Source organism: Homo sapiens, chromosome 1 (assembly GCF_000001405.40).
Source record: "Homo sapiens chromosome 1, GRCh38.p14 Primary Assembly".
Taxonomy (NCBI): Eukaryota; Metazoa; Chordata; class Mammalia; order Primates; family Hominidae; genus Homo; species Homo sapiens.
Window position 1 is genome coordinate 85,904,209 of NC_000001.11, and position 25,723 is coordinate 85,929,931.

The 25,723-nt window shown below is 37.4% G+C and overlaps 1 protein-coding gene across 20 annotated transcripts in view; it reads right to left on the minus strand.

The window, feature by feature from the left end:
• The window catches only part of COL24A1 (collagen type XXIV alpha 1 chain), a 427,752-nt gene that overhangs the window by 174,976 nt on the left and 227,053 nt on the right, over positions 1–25,723 (minus strand). For 16 of the 20 annotated variants that reach the window (NR_146340.2, NR_146341.2, NR_146342.2 and 13 more), the window contains 4 exons: positions 7,172–7,225; positions 5,742–5,795; positions 4,390–4,443; positions 2,986–3,039 (listed from right to left, as the gene is read on the minus strand). Coding sequence is in view for 14 of the 20 variants with exons in the window: in XM_047417004.1 (XP_047272960.1) it covers positions 2,986–3,039; positions 4,390–4,443; positions 5,742–5,795; positions 7,172–7,225 (216 nt within the window). In the remaining 6 variants the exon portion in view is untranslated. The remainder of the gene's footprint in view (positions 1–2,985; positions 3,040–4,389; positions 4,444–5,741; positions 5,796–7,171; positions 7,226–25,723) is intronic. The other 4 variants (NR_146344.1, NR_146343.1, XM_047417015.1 and 1 more) reach the window with 1 other exon arrangement.

Consider the following 25,723-nt stretch of genomic DNA (forward strand, 5'->3'; position numbering starts at 1 on the left):
TGTATGCCTCTATACTGCCCCTCTAGAGAAAGAGTGCAAACTTAAACATGTCTCATGATCCTTGCCAATTCATAATCAAGAAAAAAGATGAGGTTAACTTCGCTCTGTGTCATCTCTCCTGTTTGGGTAGCTGGACACAGAGGCGTATAATGGAGTAATACCAAGGGATCAGTTGCCTAGTTCTGAAGAGTTCCATGTGCAGCTGATGTTGTGCTGATTTCTAGTGACCCAAGAGGCTAAACCACTATCTTTCTGGTACTGAATTAGAGAATCTGCTAGCTTATATTGTCTACACAAGGGACATGATTTTGTATATTATACTAATTAGCTTTGGTATGTTAAACTATTTCATTTTATTTAATTATTCTTCAGCTAAACATGCAGGTAGAAACAAAGCTTAGAGTATGTAGGATAAATAATAATACTTTAAAGTTTATGCCATGTTTCTTATCTAAGAATCTCTGTAAGAATGATATTTTTAGTCAATCCTGTTATCTTTTTCAGCTATATAAAAGGCAAGGTTACTTATTTCTTGAGATGGTAGGACATTATTATTTGTTTGGGGTTTTCCTGTCCTTTGGAAAAATTTCAATACTGCATGGTACTTCAAAAGCCATCAGACTGTAAAATCTATGCAGTTTAGATGTAAGAGATAATTAAGTCTAGAATCCTCCATGGTATTAATAGTGTTTGACAGGTTGCAGGGAATCAGTAAATGTTAGATAGCTGTAAGGTGGATGGATGGGCAGGAGAGAAGCAGATAGTAAGCAGACTCTTTGGAGTAGTCCTACCCTTCATGATGGTCATATGGCCATATGTTAACAGCATCAATCACAGTCAGAACAGCAAGAGAGTATAACTACCAGTTCCATAATGAAAATTCTCTGTGTGGTCTCTGTGCAAATGTACTTAGGGCAGAGCTTCCCTCCAACATGCTATGACACGTATTTTCCACAAAGAGATTACAGGTATGCTGAAAATAGTGCCCTCCTCAGCCTTTGGGGTGGCAAGGAAAAGCCAGACACAGGAATCTGCAGCTAGGTCCCCTTTTCATTTATCTCAGTAGGCTGGACCAATATTCTCATTTTTTGTGAGTGAAAAACATTGGGAAGAATGGGTCTAGAGTATTGGGATTACAGCCCTAGTGGGGAATGGATTGAAGAGAGAAGAGAGTAAAAATAGGAATATATCAGTGGCTACCAGAAGGGAACTTCCCAATGCTATTTTCTTTCTCAAATATTCTGGTCTTCGGTATGTTTTCTGTATGCCCAATGTCCATTGTTTACCTAAAATAGTAGTTCAGTAAAGAAGGCTCTCTCTCTCTCTCTCCCTCTTTTAAAGCCCTTGTTTCTAAACAAATCTTCCTTGTCTGGATACTGGGTAAAAATTTTAAAAATGATGAGGAGCCATTTCGGGAGAGAATCAGTAAAATGTATTTGAAGGATGTGAGGAAAATAGATCCTTGGGGAGGTAGGAATTGATGACAAAGTGACAAATCAGGAAACAGTAATAGGATCATGGTGAAGTTAGAAAACTGCAGAACAAACGAACTTTCCATATGACTTAATGAGACAGCACAAAGTGGTTTAGGAAAAGACTGTGCTTAGATACACAGCTTGTGCTTAAGGACTCAAATTACTTAATTAACAAAAGGAACAAGTAAGTATTTCTTCTTTTTTTCATCTGTCACAAATTGGTTGAACTTTCCCATTATGACTTATACAAAGTTGAATAAACACATTTGACCTAACTAAATATTGAATGCTGGCAGGGTACTAACCACTAAATGGCAGTTTGGGTACAAATCATCTATCATCATTTTTTATTTTATTTTAAATCTCATTTGGGCTAATATATTAGAGATGTGACCATAGAGTATAAATCTGTAACCCAGGAAGGAAAATAGTTTTTCAGAAAGGAAACATTAATAAAGGCAAATCTGCTCTCTTTCTTCAAGCTTCACCGAAAACACAGGATATGACTTTGAAGTCATTACTTCAAACTGGGAATTCATTAACAATTTTCTCCCATTTGCCAACTGGAAAACTGCAAGGTCTTTTTTTTTTTTTACCATGGTTAGGTAGAGGATATTTTTAGAATTTTAAAATATTTTCTTCATAAGCTCTAAAACTTAAATCAAAGTAAGGTCAAGGCATAACACAGAATCCTTAAAGCCCACATATCCAAATTAATTTAAAAAATACTCCCTGATATTCCATATGGTATTGAATAGCATGGGCTTTGGAGTCAGACACACTAAGGTTTGAATACTGCTTGTGCCATTTCTGTGTGTCTATAGAGGCCGTATACTTAAACTTTGAGAGCCCTGGTTCCCTCAACTATAATAGCTAAGATATAATATTTTTCTCTCTCTAGTGGTTTTGAGTATTGAGATAATATATGAAAGAGTGCCTGGCATGTGACAGGCATGCAATAAATAGTGGCTCTTATTTCTTTAAAAAGGATTTAATGTTTAAGATACAACTTAAAGAGATGAAGATTTATTATTTAATTCTGTATACATGATTATTAGACAATGATGATTATAATAACTTTGATTTACAATTAATAAGCTCTTATTCATCTTGTGTATCTTTGTTCCACTTCTTATTGCTTTTATTTTGTCATGATGTTATTTTTCCTTGCTATGTAAGTCTGTAGAGAAATAATTCATTTAAAGATCTTCACATTTACCATTCTCTCAAAGAATGGAATTGGAGGCTGGGAATAAGAAACAAGAATTCTATATGAGTTAGTGATACATGTAAAAATTAAAATGGAAAAATGTGATTTTATAACTACAAAAGATTATGAGTTGTATTTCAATTAACATAGGGCATTCATCTAATATAATGAAAATAGAAAAAACCTGACAAGATCTAAGCAGAATTCTAGAAGGTATGATGCTATTTTTGTTGCACATTTTCCACTATTTATGAAGTAATTTTGGGGGGGTTAATGTACTTTTTTCCTTAGATTACTTACTCTTTGTCCTTTAGGACCTTGACTCCCAGGTGGTCCTCTTGCCCCCACATGACCCTATATGTTGTAAATTTAAAGTCAGTTGTAGAATTTACAAGAATACTATCAGAATAATAGCCATAATCTTTCTTATAACATATATCCTTCTCCCAGGACATTTTTACAATTGATTAGTCTTCCTTAAAAATATGCTTTAATCACACTGCCCTCTACCAATATTCTGCTTTTGAAATATTCTACTATTTGGACAAATTTAATGTCTGGGTGTTTACACCCTGAATAAAAAATGGAGAAGCTTTTAATATTCACTGACCAAGTCGTTTTCAGAAGGAACACATATGGAGTGATGGAGGAAGGAGATATCCATTGAGCTAGACAGACCGGTCTAATCTGCCTGGCCCATCAAAAAAGCAATGGCTATCATGGTAATATTTCTTTACTATTATTCTAGATATTTATGCCAATCCCATCACATAAAAATAGTTTTTTTGTTATAAAAATGCCACAAAATGTTCCAAATTACTATGCTATAAAAATAGCCTGCAATGGAGATTAAGTTGCTATTTATTATTAAGTCAATTATAATGAATTATTTTTATAGCTATAGTCTTTAATTAAGACTCAACTGGAAAACAAAATTTATTTATCTATTAACCCAAGGTAGATAAAAATGAAGTAAACTTTAGTATTTCAAATTTATTTATTATTTTATGTGACTAAAGATATTAGTAACTGTTCTTGAGACTACTCTTCCTAATTTTAAAAGCCAACAACATATTTGCAAATATACTAGAAAATTGGGCTTATTTTTAAAACAGAAGCTTCACAAATAATAAAAGTCTTCACTGATAAGAAAAGTTCTGCTCAGGGGATCCTAAAGGCCGATCTTGTTCATATTTTAAGTTCATAATAGCTGTCAGATTCTGATAAGCAAAATTAATTTAGGGGAAACACTTCATCATCTTTTTGTAAACAAATGGAATATTTTCAATACTACAATTTTTGTTTAATAAATACATATTTTTATGAATTTTATCTGGTTGTGATAATATTTACAAATTTCTGAGAAAAATATGTTGAAGCTTACACTTGTAATTTATTTATCCAATTGGTCTCACTTCTAATCTTAATAATCCTGTTTCCTTATATGTGGTTATTCAAAAGAAACTTCAAAGCATTTTAGTTTAGGTTGCAGAACTGAAATTGATTGTATACCAAGTAGAGGTGAGGCAGTTCAAGATATCATGACAAATTCAAGAGTGTTTTGTATAGTTGGGAGAGAAGCAGTCTCCACTAGTTTACACATGACTTACTTTGAATAAAAACCAACAATAAAGCATAACAATTTATGAGTTTAAATTAAAGTAAACATTCCGGAAGGAATCATAAAGTCTTTCCTGTACTTACAGGTAATCCCAATGGACCGATAGGTCCTGGAACCCCAGGAGGACCTGGATATCCCTATAATTTAAGGAAAATATAAAAGAAGTAAAATATTCATGACTTTAAATTATTTTCATTGAAGACAAGCCAGTAAATTATAAACAATAATAAAAAGGGATAATTTGACACAATGTTTCTTTTGTAACCAAGATATGAAAGGCCACAGGAAATATTCTGCAGATAGACCATAGAAATAAAAAAAAATTTTCTGTAGTTTTATTTACATAGAAACTATATATCCATTTATTAGAAGGTTTTTGCCTAGAGAAGAAAATTGCTAGCTAGAATCACATACTACAGCCTATTTATAAGAGAACATTCATTTCATTTTTCTGAAGATCATGTTATCTTATCCATGGATATATGTTGTGTTATATAGGTTATGAAACTATATCCTTTTCGGAGAGGTCCAGGAGCTCTCTAATTAAGCAATGTAAATGTGTACAAATATTCTAGCATTTCAAACTTTAGAAGGACCACACACTTTATGGTATTAACACTGATTCAAAAAATGCGTTAGGAGGTAATGATTCTTGAAGTTGATTAGTCTTACAGGCATGCTAAATTTCCTAGCTGACAGCAACTGGAAATTGCATAGCTTAAAAAACAAAACAAAACAAAACACTTATAGGACTTTTCTGATAATATAGAAGTTAGTTAAAATCAATTTGTAGACAGTATTATGTGCCACCAGATCCATTACAAGGCATTTTCTGTATGGAATATCCTTTTATTGATAATAATTATTCACTCCAGTTCCTGCCATACTTAGAAAACTATTTAGTAAGTTAAAAAGATGTAACCCAAATATAAAATTTGTCAGCTATTTCCTATATTAAAAGTGTAAGAGAATAAGATGAATTCTGGATTCTAAGCTCTCATATGTCAAAAAACTACATCATGACCACAAACTCATGGAAGAATGGCAGTGCTGATATGTGTCATATCAACAATAGGCTGTAGAAGAATAAGTAGAACTCTAATTTTAAAAGGTGAAAGATTTATACAATCCGAAGAGAAATCACAGTATGTAGAATTCTAATTGAATTTTCTTCTTTATCTTTTTTAGCAAATTGTGGTGGTCAAATTCCTTTCCTAAAACTAGAATCATTTGACTAAGCCATCTCATTTACATGCTTTTGAGTACCTTAGTATCACATAGCATTCTGGGAGATAAACCATTTAAAAATAAAATTCTATGGGAAATTTAACATTTTTTACTCAGTTAAATTCCAGCCCAGGCAATTCCATCTCTGGAACGACTTGCTTTTATTGCATTCTTTGGAAACATATTTTTCAAATCACTGAGCTCTTACCATAACACCTTTTTCTCCCTGCGGACCTAGTGGGCCTGGACTTCCACGTTCTCCCTTTTAAGAGAACAAAGAAAAAAGAGTAACATAGAGGCATATTAATTAGTCATGACTGAGCTAAGCCTAGAAAGAAAAACTGTCATCCAGAATCATGTCTTACATGCATACATCATTTTTATTTCCAATAATTTTTAAATTTACAAATTTGGCGCTTTATCTTAAAATTATTAGACTTTTAATAAAATAGAATTATCTTAAGATGTTTTTTGGAGAAAAATATTAAAGTCCTTATTAAAATGAAGAAAATAGAAATTATGGATAAACAAGACTTAAAAGTGAGCACACATCATATGTTAAAGTTTTGTAAGAAATGCTTACTATTTTATGAGACATACAAAATATGAGAATAGTGAAAGTATCAAAGCATATTAAAATGTAACAAATCTGTGTAACCATTTAAGAAAATTTTATTTTATAGTCTGCCTACCACAATTAAGTGCCATAAGAAATAAGTCTGGAAGATCATGATAATCAAATCTGTCATAGCAGCTTAAAAAGACTAAACTGATTCACATTAAAATTCTCAAGAGTATCAACATTTTAGTACAGAAGATTTAACTCAGCACAGAAATAACTAATTGGGTGAAAAAAATTATAATGCAAAATTTTTTAACTGCACTCATTTTGTTACATTGTTAGTAAAAAATCAATAAGTATATATTAAGTATGTAGTATTTAAGTAATTGAGAATGTAGTACATGAGAGTTAGAAGAGATATTTAAAAAACTAAACTTAGATTCTACCCTCAGTAACTGCAGACACTGCAGACATGATATTAACAGAGATGAAACAACCAGAGAGTAAGTAAATTTTGACTATGTGGTACTATTCTAAGTCCAAGAAGTGAAGAAATTAGGAAGGATGAGAGGAGTCTGTGGACTTCATAGAGGAGATGGGAATTCAGCTGAGTCCAACAGTTTGGTTTTGAAGAAACAGAGGGAAGGAGAGAGGATATTTTAGTTCAAGAAAATAGTAAGAATGGAAATAGGAACAAGCTCAAGCACAAGATGGGGAGAGAGAAAGGTAAAATGGTAACTTATTCTTCTTTTTCAAAAACTGCTTTCTTTCAAGCCTCTCATAGAAGGCTTGCTCTCATGAAGTCGATTTACATAATATTTTCTAGTCAGAAATCTAGACTGTTCCATCTTTTCTCTTCAGATCACATCTTTATAATCAAAAGGGTACTCTGCCCTTTAAAAATTAGAAACCTACATGCTGTTAGCTATATTTCAATATATTTAAGATATTCAGTATAGGTAATGTGCTAAAGTTATAAGTGATTTCTAATTAACATAAAAGATCATATGAAAGTCTGCCTTTTGAATTTAGCCTAGATTTCTTCCTATAAAACAAAATAATTCTTAAAAAATTACCTTTTCGCCAATGCTTCCAGTCATCCCAACTTCTCCAGGTAAGCCAACAGGTCCCTTTTAGGAAAAAAAAATAACAGAAAATACACACATATTGTATTGCTATTGTAGTGCCTGGGTCTTAAATCACCTGTAATCACTATGTTTCTTTCTAACTTATCCTAAATGTTATCTTGGAGTAAAATTCCTCCTTGTATAGCTATGCAGTCTGTGACTTCATATCAGAATTAATTTATTCAGTCAGTCAACAAAAATATATCAGTGCCTAAAATATAACAGGCACTACGCTGGGAGGCAATGAGTTTCAAATCCACAGTCGCTGTCCATGTGGAACTGACATGCTACTAGATTTTATAAAACCCCTGACGTTTTCATACCTGTTTGATGTGGATATATTCGTTTAAGAAATCATTTCTGTAACTACCTTTTTTGAAAGCCCCTCAATACACAAGCGGACAGAACATGCCTATCATTCATTCATCCACTCAAGAAATATTTGGTGCCTACTCTGTGCCAGGCACTGTGATGGTTGCTAAGATTTCATTACTGAGGAAGACAAATCTAGACCCTGCCCTCTTGAGGCAAAAAGTCTCATAACAGGGAGACAAAAGCAACTAAATTAAAAGTTAAATAATTATAAATTCTGACATAAGCTCATAAAGGAAACAATAATATTGCTGAAGAGGAGAATAAAAGAGAAGACCTATTTTAGCACAGATGGTCAGGGAAGACTGAGGCCTGACATTTAATATGAAATCTGAATAATAATAAGAGGCCAGCCAGCCAAAGAAGGGAGGAAGAATATTCTAGGTAGAGTAAATAGCTTGAGTAAGGAATGAATTTGATTTGCTAGAAGATGTTAAAGAAGGTAATCAGTTACACCATTTCAGAGTGAACACGTCTCAGGGTTTTTCCATCTTTGTCTTTACGGATTCTCAATTATTTCTCCTTCAAACAGTACAGAAAGCAAAAAGAATAACACAGAACAAGCTTGACAAGAACATAATCTCTTTCTTGTCTTAAATCATAAGCAGTTACTTTCTACTTTTATTTAAAGACAAATGAAACTTTTTTCAATAGCTACCATGCAAAGACCTTGTTTAGATAGATTCTCATACGATAGTATACATTAGCATACAGAAAGCACTGACTCATGAAAAATGACTTGTCATTTATCTAATGCATTGAGCATGATTTTACCCTTACAGATCTCTATCTATCTAATGATCCCATATATATAACATATATTAAGTGTTTTCTATGTGCCTGATTTAATCTTCACAACCAGCAGATATAGTATTATCATCATTCCCCTTTGACAGATGAGGCAGATGAATTAAACAGTTTGCTGACACAGATGAGGTTAAATGGTATGGATGAGTTTAAGTGGCTATTGAGCACTTGAAATGTGGTTAGTGCAAATTGACACATACTGTAAATGTAAAAGACACCAGATTTTGAAGACTTATAGAAAGAATGTAAAATAGCTAACTAATGATTGCTTACATCGATTACGTATTAAAATGATACTGATTTGATATATTGGTGTAAATGAAATATTACTAAAATCAGTTCACCTCTTTCTTTTTATCTTTTTTAATGTGGCTACTAGAAAATTTAAAATTATATATGTGGCTTATAATTTTGACTTGCATTGTATGTCTATTGGACAGCCCTGATGTATACTTTTAGGCACTATGCTAATATTATTGCTTAAATCTAGTTGGAAGTGATTTAATAATTTGTTTCTGTGGTTTTTAAGTGTAAGAGACTGAACACTTTCATTCTGAGACAATCTATTATCAATGTTCATGTGCATGGAATTCACTGGTCTCACTGTGTTCTCCACCATTCTGAGACAGCTGGTTTGATAAAACGGTGAAATGGCATTTTTAAGACTCAGTTACAAGGCCAGCTAGGTGACAATACTTTGCAGGGTTGGGGCAAGACTTTCCAGAAGGCTATATATGCTCTGAATCAGTGTCCAATATATGGTGCTGTTTCTCCTATAACTAGTATTTTGGGGTCCAGGAATCAAGGGGTGGAAATGGGAGTGGTACTACTCACTATTACCCCTAGTCATCCACTAGAAAATTTTTTGTTTCTGCCCATGCTCTGCTGGACTAAAGGTCTTAGTTCCAGAGGGAGGAATGCTTCCACCAGGAGACACAACGATGATTCCACTGAACTAGAAGTTAAGACTGCCATCCGGCCACTTTGGGCTTCTTATGCCCCTGAATCAACAGCCAAAGAAGGGAGTTACTGTGTTGGCTATGTTGCTTAATTCTGCCTTCCATAGGGAAATGGGACCTTCACAATGGAGGTAAGGAAGAGTGTGAATAAAATACAGGAGATCCCTTAGGATACGTCTTAATATCACCATGCTCTGTGATTAAGGTCAATGGAAAATTACAACAACCCAGTTCAGGCAGGACTACTTACTAGTGACCCAAATTCTTCCGGAATGAAGGTTTGGGTCACCCCATGTCTTAGTCCATCCAGGCTACTATAACAAAAATATTGTAGGCTGGGTGACTTTAACAACAAATATTTATTTCCCACAGTGTTGGAGGCTTAGAAGTCTAAGATCAAGGCACCAGTAGATTCAGTATCTAGTGAGGGCCTGCTCCCTGGTTCATAGATGGCAGAGCCCTCATGACCTAATCATCTCCCAAGGTCTACACCACCTCATACCTTACATTGGTCATTAGAATTTCAACATATGAATTTTGCAGAGGATAAAAACATTCAGTTCATAATACCCCACCAAGTACAGATCCCAACTAGCTGAGGTGCTTGCTGATGGCAAACGGAATAAAGAATGGGTAGCGGAGAAGGTAGTTTTAAATACCTGCTATGGCCATGTGACCAGTTACAGAAACGAAGACTATAATTGTCATGAGTATTTCATCGTTATTTTGTCATGAATGTGTGTGTGTGTGTGTGTGTGTGTGTGTGTGTGTGTGTGCAGCAAATATCTTTGGTTCTTTTCTTCTCATTTCTTTTTTTCTTTTCTTTTTTTTTTTTTTCTTGAGATGGAGTCTCACTCTGTCACCCAGCTTGGAGTGCAATGGCGCGATCCTGGCTCACAGCAACCTCTGCCTCCTGGCTTCAAGCGATTCTCCTGCCTCAGCCTCCTGAATGGCTGGGATTACAGGCGTGCACCACCATGCCTGATTAAATTTGGTATTTTCAGTAGAGACAGGGTTTCACCATTTTGGACAGGCTGGTCTTGAACTCTTGACCTCAAGTGATCTGCCCACCTTGGCCTCCCAAAGTATTGGGATTACAGGTGTAAGCCACTGCTCCTGCCCTCTCATTTCTTTATCATATAACATAAGACGTATTGACCTTATAACAGTATCTAAGTATGGTTAATTTTACATCATAGTATTTAAGTTACAGGTTATAAAGGAGAAGAGTAAACATCACTCAAGGACTTTACATCCTCTTCTGGAAAAGAGGTTAGTGAGTTTTTGGTTACATGCAGGATAATGATATCATGTTAGGCAGAATTATGATCTTATTATTGTCTTTATTTGAAGGTTAAGTATGGTTTAAAGAGATGCATTTGGGGGCAAACTTGACAATGGGGAGGGCTGTCACGGTTAATTTTATGTGTCAAGGTCACTGGGTTACAGAGTGCTCAGATATTTGGCTAAACATTATTTCTGAGTGTATGTTGTTTCTAGGTGAGATTAACATTTAAATAGGTAAACTGACTAAAGCAGATTGCCTTTCCCAATGTGGGTGGGCACTGTCCAATCTGTTGAGGATCTGAATAAAACAAAAAGGCAAAGGAAAGGAAACTTTTCTCTCCATCTGACTGCTTAGGCTGGGACATTAGTCTTCTCCTGCCTTTGAACTAGGACAGCATTGACTCCTAGTTCTCAGGCCTTTGGACTTGGAGTAGAATTTAAATAATCAGTGCTGTAGGTCTCAGGCCTGTGGACTCTGATAGAACTTACACTGTCAATTCTTGTGGTTCTCAGGCCTTTGAACTCGGACTGGAACTATACTGGATTTCTAGGATCTCCTGTTTGTGGATGGAAGACTGTGAGATTTTTTTTTAGCCCCCCACAATCATGTGAGCCAATTCTTTATAATAAATCAATCTATCTATATCTATATCCTGTTGGTTCTGTTTCTCTGGAAAACCCTAACTAATGCTGTCAATCAAATCTGAGCAGGAAAAATGAAATAGAGCTATCTGTTGTGAGACAGTAAACAAAATAACAGAAACTGAACACAGACTAGTCAAACTATTCGGAAAAAATCATTTTTCTTTTTGAGACAGAGTCTCGCTGTGTCGCCTGGGCTGGAGTGCAGTGGTATGATCTTGGTTCACTGCAACTTCAGCCTCCTGGGTTCATGCAATTCTCCTGCCTCAGCCTCCTGAGTAGCTGGGACTACAGGCACAGAGCACCGTGCCCGGCTAATTTTTTGTTTTTGTTTTTAGCAGAGATGGGGTTTCACCATGTTGGCCAGGCTAGTCTCGAACTCCAGACTTCAAGTGATCCACCCGCCTTGGCCTCCCAAAGTGATAAATCCTTTTTCTAAGACATATGATCTAGGGGAGTGAATGCAGTAGGCTCGTTTAGCTTATCCCATGTGCACCAGAACAATATAACCTACAAATGTATTCTGCTTAGCCTATAGCATTTACTAAACTGAACTAGGTAAAAACATTTAAAAATCTGGAGATTTTACATATAAATACTTTATATATAAAGATTTATAAAATTATTAGCTTCAGATGACCTAGCAAATGTAGACAAACTTTCTCAAAGGCAAATATTGGACAGAACTAAGTAACTGTTGTACTGTTGAGATCCAGATGCACTCTTTACTTTGCTATTCCCTATTGTCTCTTATACATGGCCCATTTTACTTATTTATACTATCTGCCTGGTCCCAATAGGGCATCTGAGTTTTTTACTTCATGTAAGTATTAAAAGGTGCAGTCAGTCAAAAGGGCATAATTGGAAGATAGAGGTTCTCACTAAAAAGTAGATAGTTCACAGGGTTCCGGCCATGCCCATGGATATCTTTAATAAAACTTAAAGTTGGAGAACATAAATTAAAAATGGTTTCCTTGCAGCCTAGGCAACATAGGGAGATCACATCTCTATAAATAATCTATACATAATAATAATAAAATTAGCTGGGTGTGGCAACATGTTCCTGTAGTCCCAGCTACTCATGAAGCTGAGGTGTGAGGATCGCTTGGACTCAGGAGGTCAAGGTTGCAGTAAGCCTGAGTGACAGAGCAAGACCCTGTCTCCAAAATACATAAAAAGAAAAACGTACTATTTCAGTACCTTAAAAAGTCTAACCAAAACATATGTCAAATCTGATAATACCACAAGTGTTGGCTAGAATGTAAGGAAAGAAGAACTCATACATACACAGCAGGAAATAGCAGGAAATAGTATAAATTGGTACAATCACTTTGGAGAACAATTTATTATATATAGTAAAATTGAAGATGCCCCTAACTTACAACTCAGCACTTCTAGTTGTTCACATGGAATTCTACTTTCACATGTATGTACTAGGAGACATATAGAAAGACGTTCATTGCTGTATTATTTAAGTACAAAAGTAGAATCATCGGCATTATCAGTATGGACACAGATTAACTAAAATGCATTCATACAATAAAGAAAACTCTTGAATGACCAATACTGAGAAATAAACAGAAAACCTCAACACCAGCTAAAATTAATAGACCAGATCTATATGTATCAACATGGATAAACATTTTAGGAATATAATGTTGACTGAGAAAACAGCATAAATCCTTTTCAAAAGGATACATCATTATGTGTTTTGTGCAAAATTTTAAAACGCATACAATAATCTAATTTCTTACTGGCAGAAGACACATGGGAATTATACACACAACTTTAGGATAAGGGCTAATGTCTGTATATAGAGTAGTGGCTCATTATTTTTTTATTTTGAATTTCTCTGATAACTAGTTTCTCTGAGTCTGAACTTCTCTTCATTTATGTGTTCATGTTTTGGACTTTTTCTGCTTAGTTCTTATCCATGTCCTTTGCTCAACTTATTTTTTCCCATTAAGATTTCCTAAATTTTCTTGATGATTTTCAGGAATTTTTATATATTTGAAGTATAAACTTCTTATTGGTTTTATTTTATTTTATTTATTCATGTTTTGGGCTTTTTCTGTGTAATTCTTTTCCATGTCTTTGCTCAATTTATTTTTTCCCATTAAGATTTCCTATATTTTCTTGATGATTTTCAGGAATTTTTATATATTTAAAGTATAAACTTCTTATTGGTTTTATTTATTTATTTATTTATTTGAGATGGAGTCTTGCTCTGTCGCCCAGGCTGGAGTGCAGTGGCATGATCTCTGCTCATTGTAACCTTTGCCTCCCAGGTTCAGCTTGATCCTGCCACCTCAGCCTCCTACCTCAGCCTCCTGAGCAGCTGGGACTACAGGCATGCACCACGACGCCCAGCTAATTTTTTTGTAGTTTTTAGTAGAGACGGGGTTCCACCATGTTGGCCAAGCTGGTCTCGAACTCCTGACCTCAGGTGATCTGCCCGCCTTGGCCTTCCAAAGTGCTGGGATTACAGGCATGAGATACCGTGCCCAAACCTTATTGGTTTTAGATGTTCTAAATTCCTTCTTGTGATAAATCACCTGTGAAATTATTTTTGATATCTTTCATTGACAAGAAGTCCTTAATTTTTATGTGGCCATATCCAGTGTGGTTTTTGTTTTTTTTTTTGGCCTTATGATTTGTATTTTCTGGATCTTGTTTAAGAAAGCTTTCCTTATTTCTATGTCATTAAATAATGGGCATTCTTTTCTATTGCTGTTAACTTTTCTATCTAGAAAAGTTTCTTTAATCCATCTGGAGTTCAATTTTCACGTGGTATAAGATAGGGATCCAGTTTTAATTTTTTGCATACAGGGACCCAGTTTTCCAAATGCTATATATTCAGCACTATTTCTTACCCACCTATTGGTTTATGGTGCCATTCTTGTCTTATACATGGCTTATTTCTAAGCTTTCTAGTCTATCTTATGATGATTTGTCTGTTTTTCTCCCTTTGCAAATTTCTCTCACTCCATTTTTCTAATGTTTTTATGGTTGTCTCTACTACAGACTGAAAATAAGCATGCCAACAAAGGTTTATATCAGTGGTAAGGAATGTGAACATACAGGCTTTAAATCTATTCAGTCTTTAAGTCTATATTACTCTTTGAAACTGTGTACACACTTGGAAATAATAGATGAATTAGACAAAGGTATTTAAAGCTGAGGTCTGCCAAATTTCATGGAATCTAAGATATCATGGATTGTAAGATACACCAATATTTTTTAAATCTCTGAATAGAGAAAAAAATCTCCCAAGCAATTGTAATTTACCACTGATCATGAGAAATATCTCAATTTTTAAAATGTGAAAATGTGAAAAGAAAAAATGGTATAGCAGATTGTTTTACTGTTTGAAATATTCACTGCTCCTTTCTGTGGAAGGATTATACCTCCCTATGCTACTGATGTCAGACTTGGCCATATAATTTGGAGTGCCCGTCACCATGGGAGGAATATACCCCTGCATCTTATTAATGTCATTCTTCTCTATGTAACTTCAAATAAATAGAAAGTGATATGTACCACTTTTTTTTTAAGTCAGTTTCTTTTTTCCTTTTGCCATGAGACTAAACATGTTCCACACAGGCACTGCTCCTTAAGCCTGAGTCTCCGAATGCAGATAACATGTAACAGAGTCACAGCCAACCCACAGTGTATAGAGTGCAAGTAAGAAATAAACTTTTATTATTGTAAACCACTAATATATTCAGGCTGTTTCTTTCTGCAGCATAATTTAGCCTAAACTGACTGATGCAATATGTCCTTTTAAGCTGATATGACATGGCAATTATTAACAGGAGAAGCATGTGGTTTTCTCTAATTTTATCCCAAGTGCTAATGACCCTAAGAGATAGATGGAGCCACAAGAAAGAGGGGGCCTGGGCCAGGCATGGTGGCTCATGCCTGTAATCCCAGCACTTTGGGAGGTTAAGGCAGGAGGATTGCTTGAAGCCAGGAGTTCAAGACCAGCCTGGGCAACAAAGTGAGACCCTGTCTCTACAAAAAAGAAAAATTAAAAATTAGCTAGGTTTGGTGGCCCGTGTCTGTAGTCCCAGCTACTCAGAAGACTGAGGCGGGAGGCTTGAGCCCAGGAGTTGGAGGCTGCAGTGGAGCAATGATTGCATCACTGCACTCCAGTCTGGGTGACACAGTGAGACCCTGTCTCTTAAAAAATAAAAACAACAACAACAAAAACCAAGAGAGAGCACCTGGTTTTCTTAATCAACTTGTAGGGGAGAGCTACTTAGGAACACCTTCACCAGACAATTAACATGGGCAAAAATAACTTTCTGTTGTGTTAAAACAACATAAAATATTTAGGTTTACTTATTATGGCAGTTAGTGTTATCCTAAAAATACAGTGAATTTACGTATTAACATAAAATTGAAAAACTGTGAAATCTAACTCAATTAGTTTATTTGAAAGTTAATCTCACAGAAAGTGCACTGAATCAATTTCCAGTTTAGTACAGTTGCAAATCAATTTCTTCAATAAATGCAAAATGAGGTGAAGAAAATAAAATTAAGCATATTTATTTGTTCATGTAACAGATCCTGTGCTAAGATTTAGCTGGAGAGGATATAGAGATGAGTAAAATATACTAAGGAGTTCAAAATCCAGTAAATTGGAATAAGGTAAACGTATATTTTCTAAAAGTTAATAGAAGAAGAAGTAAAATAATATCTAACACAAAGGCAGAAGAGATTATATCTGGTTGAAAACATGAGAAAAGACTTTACAGAGAAGGCAGCATCTCAGGTATGGTTACATGTTGACATGATGAAATGGTGAAAGTGTATTCCAAGCAGAGGGAATGTTTTGAGCTAAAGATGGGAGGGAGCAAATGATAAAACATTTGCAAACACAAAGTTAATCCACATTGTCTGGGACACAGAATATGTGTAGGGGAATAGGCTGGGATAGATACATTGGTTATATACTATAGACGGCTTTGAATACCAAGTGAGAAATTTGTGTTTGTGGTATCTGCAGAAGAGTGTGTGCTTGTAGAAGAATCACTATTGGTTTTCAGTAAAGGAGGAATATAATCATATCTAGACTTGAATGGGTGGTAATTTAACATCACTGTGTTTAATGTGTAGAAATGGGAAAAATAGAAAATAGGACAAACAAATCATTATAATAGTCCACATTAAATGTAATGACTGGTATGAGGACAATATCATCATTAAAAAAAAACAGTAAGCTCAGGAGAAAAGCCACTGTTAGAGGAAAAGTGACGAAGTAAGCCAACAGACAGTTGTGCTTGTAAAGAATCTATCTTGAAATACTGATTTGTGTCTCCATAGAACAATCAATTGTTGAAATAATAAGAATGATGTAGTACATACGCTGATGATAAACCAGGAACAAGAAGGGAATCTAATGAAGATTCATTGGAGGCAAGAGGTAGAAAAAAAAAAACAAAAACAAAAGAAAGAGTCACAAAAGAAAGAGTCAAATAGTCATGTTCCAAGATGGCCAAATAGGAACAGCTCTGATCTGCAGCTCTCAGCATGATCTGCATTTCCAACTGAGGTACCTGGCTCATCTCATTGGGACTGGTTGGACAGTGGGTGCAGCCCATGGAGGGTGAACCAAATCAGGGTGGGGCATCGCCTCACCTGGGAAGTGCAAGGGGTTGGGGGACTTCCCTTTCCTAGCCAAGGGAAGCCATGACAGAATACACCTGGAAAATCGGGACACTCCTGCCCAAATACTGCAGTTTTCCAACAGTCTTAGCAAATGGCACACCAGGAGATTATATCCTGTGCCTGGCTTGGCAGGTCCCATGCCCATGGAGCCTTGCTCACTGCTAGAGCAGCAGTCTGAGATCGACCTGTGAGGCAGCAGCCTGGCAGGGGGAGGGGCATCTGCCATTGCTGAGGCTTCAGTAGGTAAACAAAGTGGCCAAGTATACAGGCAGGTGCCCCTCTGGGATGAAGCTTCCAGAGGAAGGATCAGGCAAAAATATTTGCTGTTCTGCAGCCTCCACTGGTGATACCTAGGCAAACATGGTCTGGAGTGGACCTCCAGCAAACTCCAACAGACCTGCAGCTGAGGGACCTGACTCTTAGAAGGAAAACTAACAGAAAGGAATAGCATCAACATCAACGAAAAGGACATCCACACAAAAACCCCACCTGTAGGTCACCATCATCAAAGACCAAAGGTAGATAAAACCACAAAGATGGGGAGAAACCAGAGCAGAAAAGCTAAAAATTCCACAGAGTGCCTCTTCCCCTCCAAAGGATCACAGCTTCTCAGCAGCAACTGAACAAAGCTGGGCAGAGAATGACTTTGATGAGCTGATAGAAGTAGGCTTCAGAAGGTCAGTAATAACAAACTTCTCCGAGCTAAAGGAGGATGTTGGAACTCATCGCAAGTAAGCTAAAAGCCTTGAAAAATGATTAGATGAATGGCCAACTAGAATAAACAATGTAGAGAAGACCTTAAGTGACCCGAGGGAGCTGAAAACCATGGCATGAGAACTACGTGACGCATGCACAAGCTTCAATAGCTGATTCGATCTAGTGGAAGAAAGAGTATCAGTGATTGAAGATCAAATTAATGAAATAAAGCAAGAGGAGAAGTTTAGAGAAAAAATAATAAAAAGAAACGAACAAAGCCTCCAAGAAATATGGGATTATGCGAAAAGACCAAATCTACATTTCATTGGTGTACCTGAAAGTGATGGGGAGAATGGAACCAAGTTGGAAAACACTCTTCAGGGTATTATCCATGAGAACTTCCCCAACCTAGCAAGGTAGGCCAACATTCAAATTCAGGAAATACAGAGAATTCCACAAAGATACTCCTTGAGAAGAGCAACTCCAAGACACACAATTGTCAGATTCACCAAGGTTGAAATGAAGGAAAAAATGTTAAGGGCAGCCAGAGAGAAAGGTCAGGTTAACCACAAAGGGAAGCCCATCAGACTAATAGCGGATCTCTTGGCAGAAACTCTATAAGCCAGAAGAGAGTGGGGGGCCAATATTCAACATTCTTAAAGAAAAGAATTTTCAATCCAGAATTTCATATCCAGCCAAACTAAGCTTCATAGGTGAAGGAGAAATAAAATCCTTTACAGACAAGCAAATGCTGAGAGATTTTGTCACCACCAGGCCTGTCTTACAAGAACTGAAGGAAGCACTAAACATGGAAAGGAATAACTGGTACCAGCTGCTGCAAAAAACATGCCAAATTGTAAAGACCATCAATGCTAGGAAGAAACTGCATCAACTAACGGGCAAAATAACCAGCTAACATCATAATGACAGGATCAAATTCACACATAACAATATTAACCTTAAATGTAAATGGGCTAAATGCCCCAATTAAAAGACACGGACTGGCAAATTGGATAAAGAGTCAAGACCCATCAGTGTGCTGTATTCAGGAGACCCATCTCACATGCAGAGATACACATAGGCTCAAAATAAATGGATGGAGGAAGATCTACCAAGCAAATGGAGAACAAAAAAAAAAGCAGGGGTTGTAATCCTAGTCTCTGATGAAACAGACTTTAAACCAACAAAGATCAAAAGAGACAAAGAAGGCCATTACATAATGGTAAAGGGATCAATTCCACAAGAAGAGCTAACTATCCTAAATATATATGCAACCAATACAAGAGCACCCAGATTCATAAAGCAAGTCCTTAGGGATCTACAAACAGACTTAGACTCCAACACAATAATAATGGGAAACTTTAACACCCCATTGTCAATATTAGACAGATCAACAAGACAGAAGGTTAAAAAGGATATCCAGGACTTGAACTCAGCTCTGCACCAAGTGGATCTAATAGACATCTACAGGACTCTGCACCTCAAATTAACAGAATATACAGCCTTCTCAGCAACACATCACACTTATTCCAAAATTGACCACATAGTTGGAAGTAAAGCACTCCTCAGCAAATGTAAAAGAACAGAAATCACAATAAACTCTCTCTCAGACCACAGTGCAATCAAATTAGAACTCAGGATTAAGAAACTCACTCAAAACTGTACAACTACATGGAAACTGAACAACCAGCTCCTGAATGACTACTGGGCAAACAACAAAATGAAAGCAGAAATAAAGATGTTCTTTGAAACCAATGAGAACAAAGACACAACGTACCGGAATCTCTGGGACATATTAAAAGCAGTGTGTAGAGGGAAATTTAGAGCACTAAATGCCCACAAGAGAAAGCAGGAAAGATCTAAAATTAACACCCTAACATAACAATTGAAAGAACTATAGAAGCAAGGGCAAACAAATTCAAAAGCTAGCAGAAGGCAAGACATAACTAATATCAGAGCAGAACTGAAGGAGATGGAGACACAAAAACCCTTCAAAAAATCAATGAATCCATGAGCTGGTTTTTTGAAATGATCAAAAAAATTGATAGACTGCTAGCAAGACTAATAAAGAAGAAAAGAGAGAAGAATCAAACAGACGCAATAAAAAATGATAAAGGAGATATCATCACGGATCTCACAGAAATACAAACTACCATCAGAGAATACTATAAACACCTCTAGGCAAATAAACTAGAAAATCTAGAAGAAATTGATAAATTCCTGGACACATACACCCTCCAAAGACTAAACCAGGAAGAAGTTGAATCTGTAAATAGGCCAATAACAAGTTCTGAAATTGAGGCAATAATTAATAGCCTACCAACCAAAAAAAGTCAAGGACCAGACGGATTCACAGCCAAATTCTACCAGAGGTACAAAGAGGAGCTGATACCATTCCTTCTGAAACTATTCCAAGCAATAGAAAAAGAGGGACTCCTCCTTAACTTATTTTATGAGGCCAGCATCATCCTGATACGAAAGCCTGGCAGAGACACAACAAAAAAAGAGAATTTTAGACCAATATCCCTGATGAACATTGATGCAAAAATCCTCAATAAAATACTTTCAAATTGAATCCAGCAGCACATCAAAAAGCTTATCCACCATTACCAAGTTGGCTTCATCCCTGGGATGCAAGGCTGGTTCAACATACACAAATCAATAAACATAATCCATCACATAAACAGAACCAACAACAAAAACCACATGATTATCTCAATAGATGCAGAAAAGGCCTTTGACAAAACTCAACAGCCCTTCATGCTAAAAACTCTCAATAAACTAGGTATTGATGGAACATATCTCAAAATAATAAGAGCTATTTATGACAAACCCGCAGCCAATATCATACTGAATGGGCAAAAAACTGGAAGCATTCCCTTTGAAAACTGGCACAAGACAGAGATGCCCTCTCTCACCACTCTTATTCAGCATAGTGTTGGAAGTTCTGGTCAGGGCAATCAGGCAAGAGAAAGAAATAAAGGGTATTCAATTAGGAAAAGAGGAAGTGAAATTGTCCATGTTTGCAGAGGACATGATTGTATACTTAGAAAACTCCATCGTCTCAGCCCCAAATCTCCTTAAGCTGATAAGCAACTTCAGCAAAGTCTTAGGATACAAAATCAATGTGCAAATATCACAAGCATTCCTATACACCAATAACAGACAAACAGAGAGCCAAATCATGAGTGAACTCTCATTCACAATTGCTTCAAAGAGAATAAAATACCTAGGAATCCAACTTACAAGGGATGTGAAGGACCTCTTCAAGGAGAACTACAAACCACTGAACAATGAAATAAAAGAGGACACAAACAAATGGAAGAACATTCCATGCTCATGGACAGGAAGAATCAATATCATGGTAATGGCCATACTGCCCAAGGTAATTTATAGATTCAATGCCATCCCCATGAAGCTACCAATGACTTTCTTCACGGAATTGGAAAAAACTATTGTAAAGTTCATATGGAACCAAAAAAGAGCCCGCATTGCCAAGTCAATCCTAAGCCAAAAGAACAAAGCTGGAGGCATCACACTACCTGACTTCAAACTATACTACAAGGCTACAGTAACCAAAACAGCATGGTACTGTTACCAAAACAGAGCTATAGATCAATGGAACAGAACAGAGCCCTCAGAAATAACGCCGCATATCTACAACTATCTGATCTTTGACAAACCTGAGAAAAACAAGCAATGGGGAAAGGATTCCCTATTTAATAAATGGTGCTGGGAAAACTGGCTAGCCATATGTAGAAAGCTGAAACTGGATCCCTTCCTTACACCTTATACAAAAATTAATTCAAGATGGATTAAAGACCTAAATGTTAGACTTAAAACCATAAAAACCCTAGAAGAAAACCTAAGCATTACCATCCAGGCCATAGGCATGGGCAAGGACTTCATGACTAAAACACCAAAAGCAAAGGCAACAAAAGCCAAAATAGACAAATGGGATCTAGTTAAACTAAAGAGCTTCTGCACAGAAAAAGAAACTACCATCAGAGTGAACAGGCAACCTACAGAATGGGAGAAAATTTTTGCAATCTACCCATCTGACAAAGGGCTAATATCCAGAAACTACAAAGAACTTAAACAAATTTACAAGAAAAAAACAAACAACCCCATCAACAAGTGGGCAAAGGATATGAACAGACACTTCTCAAAAGAAGACATTTATGCAGCCAACAGACACATGAAAAAAATGCTCATCATCACTGGCCATCAGAGAAATGCAAATCAAAACCACAATGAGATACCAGCTCACCCCAGTTAGAATGGCGATCATTAAAAAGTCAGGAAACAACAGATGCTGGAGAGGATGTGGAAAAATAGGAACGCTTTTACACTGCTGGTGGGAGTGTAAACTAGTTCAACCATTGTGGAAGACAGTGTGGCAATTCCTCAAGGATCTAGAACTAGAAATACCATTTGACCCAGCAATCCCATTACTGGGTATATACCCAAAGGATTGTAAGTCATGCTACTATAAAGACACATGCACACGTATGTTTATTGCGGCACAATAGCCAAAACTTGGAACCAACCCAAATGTCCATCAATGACAGACTGGATTAAGAATATGTGGCACATATACACCATGGAATACTATGCAGCCATAAAAAGGGTGAGTTCATGTCCTTTGCAGGGACATGGATGAAGCTGGAAACCATCATTCTGAGCCAACTATCACAAGGACATAAGACCAAACACTGCATGTTCTCACTCATAGGTGGGAATTGAACAATGAGTACACTTGGACACAGGGCGGGGAACATCACACACGGGGGCCTGTCATGGGGTGAGGGGCAGGGGGAGGGATAGAATTAGGAGAAATACCTAATGTAAATGACAAGTTAATGGGTGTAGCAAACCAACATGGCGCATGTATACCTATGTAACAAACCTGCACGTTGTGCACATGTACCCTAGAACTTAAAGTATAATAATAATAATTATAATAATAATAAAAAGAGTCAAAAAGGAGGAGAACCAGGAATGCACAAAGAAAGATACAGAAAATAAAAGTTTCAAGAAGAGAGAAATCTGTGTGATGTGGGAAGGTTTAAGAAGGATGAACATTAAGACAAATTCATAGAATTTAGCAATCACCAGGTTGATGGTAACCTGTAGGAACAATTTCAGTAGCTTTTGTGTGTTTGGATATGTTTGCCAAAGGGTTAAGAATGTGTGTAGGGGGAGGAGGAGCCAAGACGGCCGAATAGGAACAGCTCCGGTCTACAGCTCCCAGCGTGAGCGACGCAGAAGACGGGTGATTTCTGCACTTCCATCTGAGGTACCGGGTTCATCTCACTAGGGAGTGCCAGACAGTGGGCGGAGGCCAGTGTGTGTGCGCACCGTGCGCGAGCCGAAGCAGGGCAAGGCATTGCCTCACCTGGGAAGCGCAAGGAGTCAGGGAGTTCCCTTTCCGAGTCAAAGAAAGGGGTGACGGACGGCACCTGGAAAATCGGGTCACTCCCACCCGAATATTGCGCTTTTCAGACCGGCTTAAGAAACGGCGCACCACGAGACTATATCCCACACCTGGCTCAGAGGGTCCTACGCCCACGGAATCTCACTGATTGCTAGCACAGCAGTCTGAGATCAAACTGCAAGGCGGCAACGAGGCTGGGGGAGGGGCGCCCGCCATTGCCCAGGCTTGCTTAGGTAAACAAAGCAGCCAGGAAGCTCGAACTGGGTGGAGCCCACCACAGCTCAAGGAGGCCTGCCTGCCTCTGTAGGCTCCACCTCTGGGGGCAGGGCACAGACAAACAAAAAGACAGCAGTAACCTCTGCAGACTTAAGTGTCCCTGTCTGACAGCTTTGAAGAGAGCAGTGGTTCTCCCAGCACGCAGCTGGAGATCTGAGAACGGGCAGACTGCCTCCTCAAGTGGGTCCCTGACCCCTGACCCCCGAGCAGCCTAACTGGGAGGCACCCCCCAGCAGGGGCACACTGACACCTCACATGGCAGGGTATTCCAACAGACCTGCAGCTGAGGGTCCTGTCTGTTAGAAGGAAAACTAAAAACCAGAAAGGACATCTACACCAAAAACCCATCTGTACATCACCATCATCAAAGACCAAAAGTAGATAAAACCACAAAGATGGGGAAAAAACAGAACAGAAAAACTGGAAACTCTAAAACGCAGAGCGCCTCTCCTCCTCCAAAGGAACGCAGTTCCTCACCAGCAACAGAACAAAGCTGGATGGAGAATGATTTTGACGAGCTGAGAGAAGAAGGCTTCAGACGATCAAATTACTCTGAGTTACGGGAGGACATTCAAACCAAAGGCAAAGAAGTTGAAAACTTTGAAAAAAATTTAGAAGAATGTATAACTAGAATAACCAATACAGAGAAGTGCTTAAAGGAGCTGATGGAGCTGAAAACCAAGGCTCGAGAACTACGTGAAGAATGCAGAAGCCTCAGGAGCCGATGCGATCAACTGGAAGAAAGGGTATCAGCAATGGAAGATGAAATGAATGAAATGAAGCGAGAAGGGAAGTTTAGAGAAAAAAGAATAAAAAGAAATGAGCAAACCCTCCAAGAAATATGGGACTATGTGAAAAGACCAAATCTACATCTGATTGGTGTACCTGAAAGTGATGTGGAGAATGGAACCAAGTTGGAAAACACTCTGCAGGATATTATCCAGGAGAACGTCCCCAATCTAGCAAGGCAGGCCAACGTTCAGATTCAGGAAATACAGAGAACGCCACAAAGATACTCCTCGAGAAGAGCAACTCCAAGACACATAATTGTCAGATTCACCAAAGTTGAAATGAAGGAAAAAATGTTAAGGGCAGCCAGAGAGAAAGGTCGGGTTACCCACAAAGGGAAGCCCATCAGACTAATAGCGGATCTCTTGGCAGAAACTCTATAAGCCAGAAGAGAGTGGGGGCCAATATTCAACATTCTTAAAGGAAAGAATTTTCAACCCAGAATTTCATATCCAGCCAAACTAAGCTTCATAAGTGAAGGAGAAATAAAATACTTTATAGACAAGCAAATGCTGAGAGATTTTGTCACCACCAGGCCTGCCCTAAAAGAGCTCCTGAAGGAAGCGCTAAACATGGAAAGGAACAACCGGTACCAGCTGCTGCAAAATCATGCCAAAATGTAAAGACCATCGAGACTAGGAAGAAACTGCATCAACTAATGAGCAAAATCACCAGCTAACATCATAATGACAGGATCAAATTCACACATAACAATAGTAACTTTAAATATAAATGGACTAAATTCTGCAATTAAAAGACACAGACTGGCAAGTTGGATAAAGAGTCAAGACCCATCAGTGTGCTGTATTCAGGAAACCCATCTCACGTGCAGAGACACACATAGGCTCAAAATAAAAGGATGGAGGAAGATCTACCAAGCCAATGGAAAACAAAAAAAGGCAGGGGTTGCAATCCTAGTCTCTGATAAAACAGACTTTAAACCAACAAAGATCAAAAGAGACAAAGAAGGCCATTACATAATGGTAAAGGGATCAATTCAACAAGAGGAGCTAACTATCCTAAATATTTATGCACCCAATACAGGAGCACCCAGATTCATAAAGCAAGTCCTGAGTGACCTACAAAGAGACTTAGACTCCCACACATTAATAATGGGAGACTTTAACACCCCACTGTCAACATTAGACAGATCAATGAGACAGAAAGTCAACAAGGATACCCAGGAATTGAACTCAGCTCTGCACCAAGCAGACCTAATAGACATCTACAGAACTCTCCACCCCAAATCAACAGAATATACATTTTTTTCAGCACCACACCACACCTATTCCAAAATTGACCACATAGTTGGAAGTAAAGCTCTCCTCAGCAAATGTAAAAGAACAGAAATTATAACAAACTATCTCTCAGACCACAGTGCAATCAAACTAGAACTCAGGATTAAGAATCTCAGTCAAAGCCGCTCAACTACATGGAAACTGAACAACCTGTACCTGAATGACTACTGGGTACATAACGAAATGAAGGCAGAAATAAAGATGTTCTTTGAAACCAACGAGAACAAAGACACCACATACCAGAATCTCTGGGACGCATTCAAAG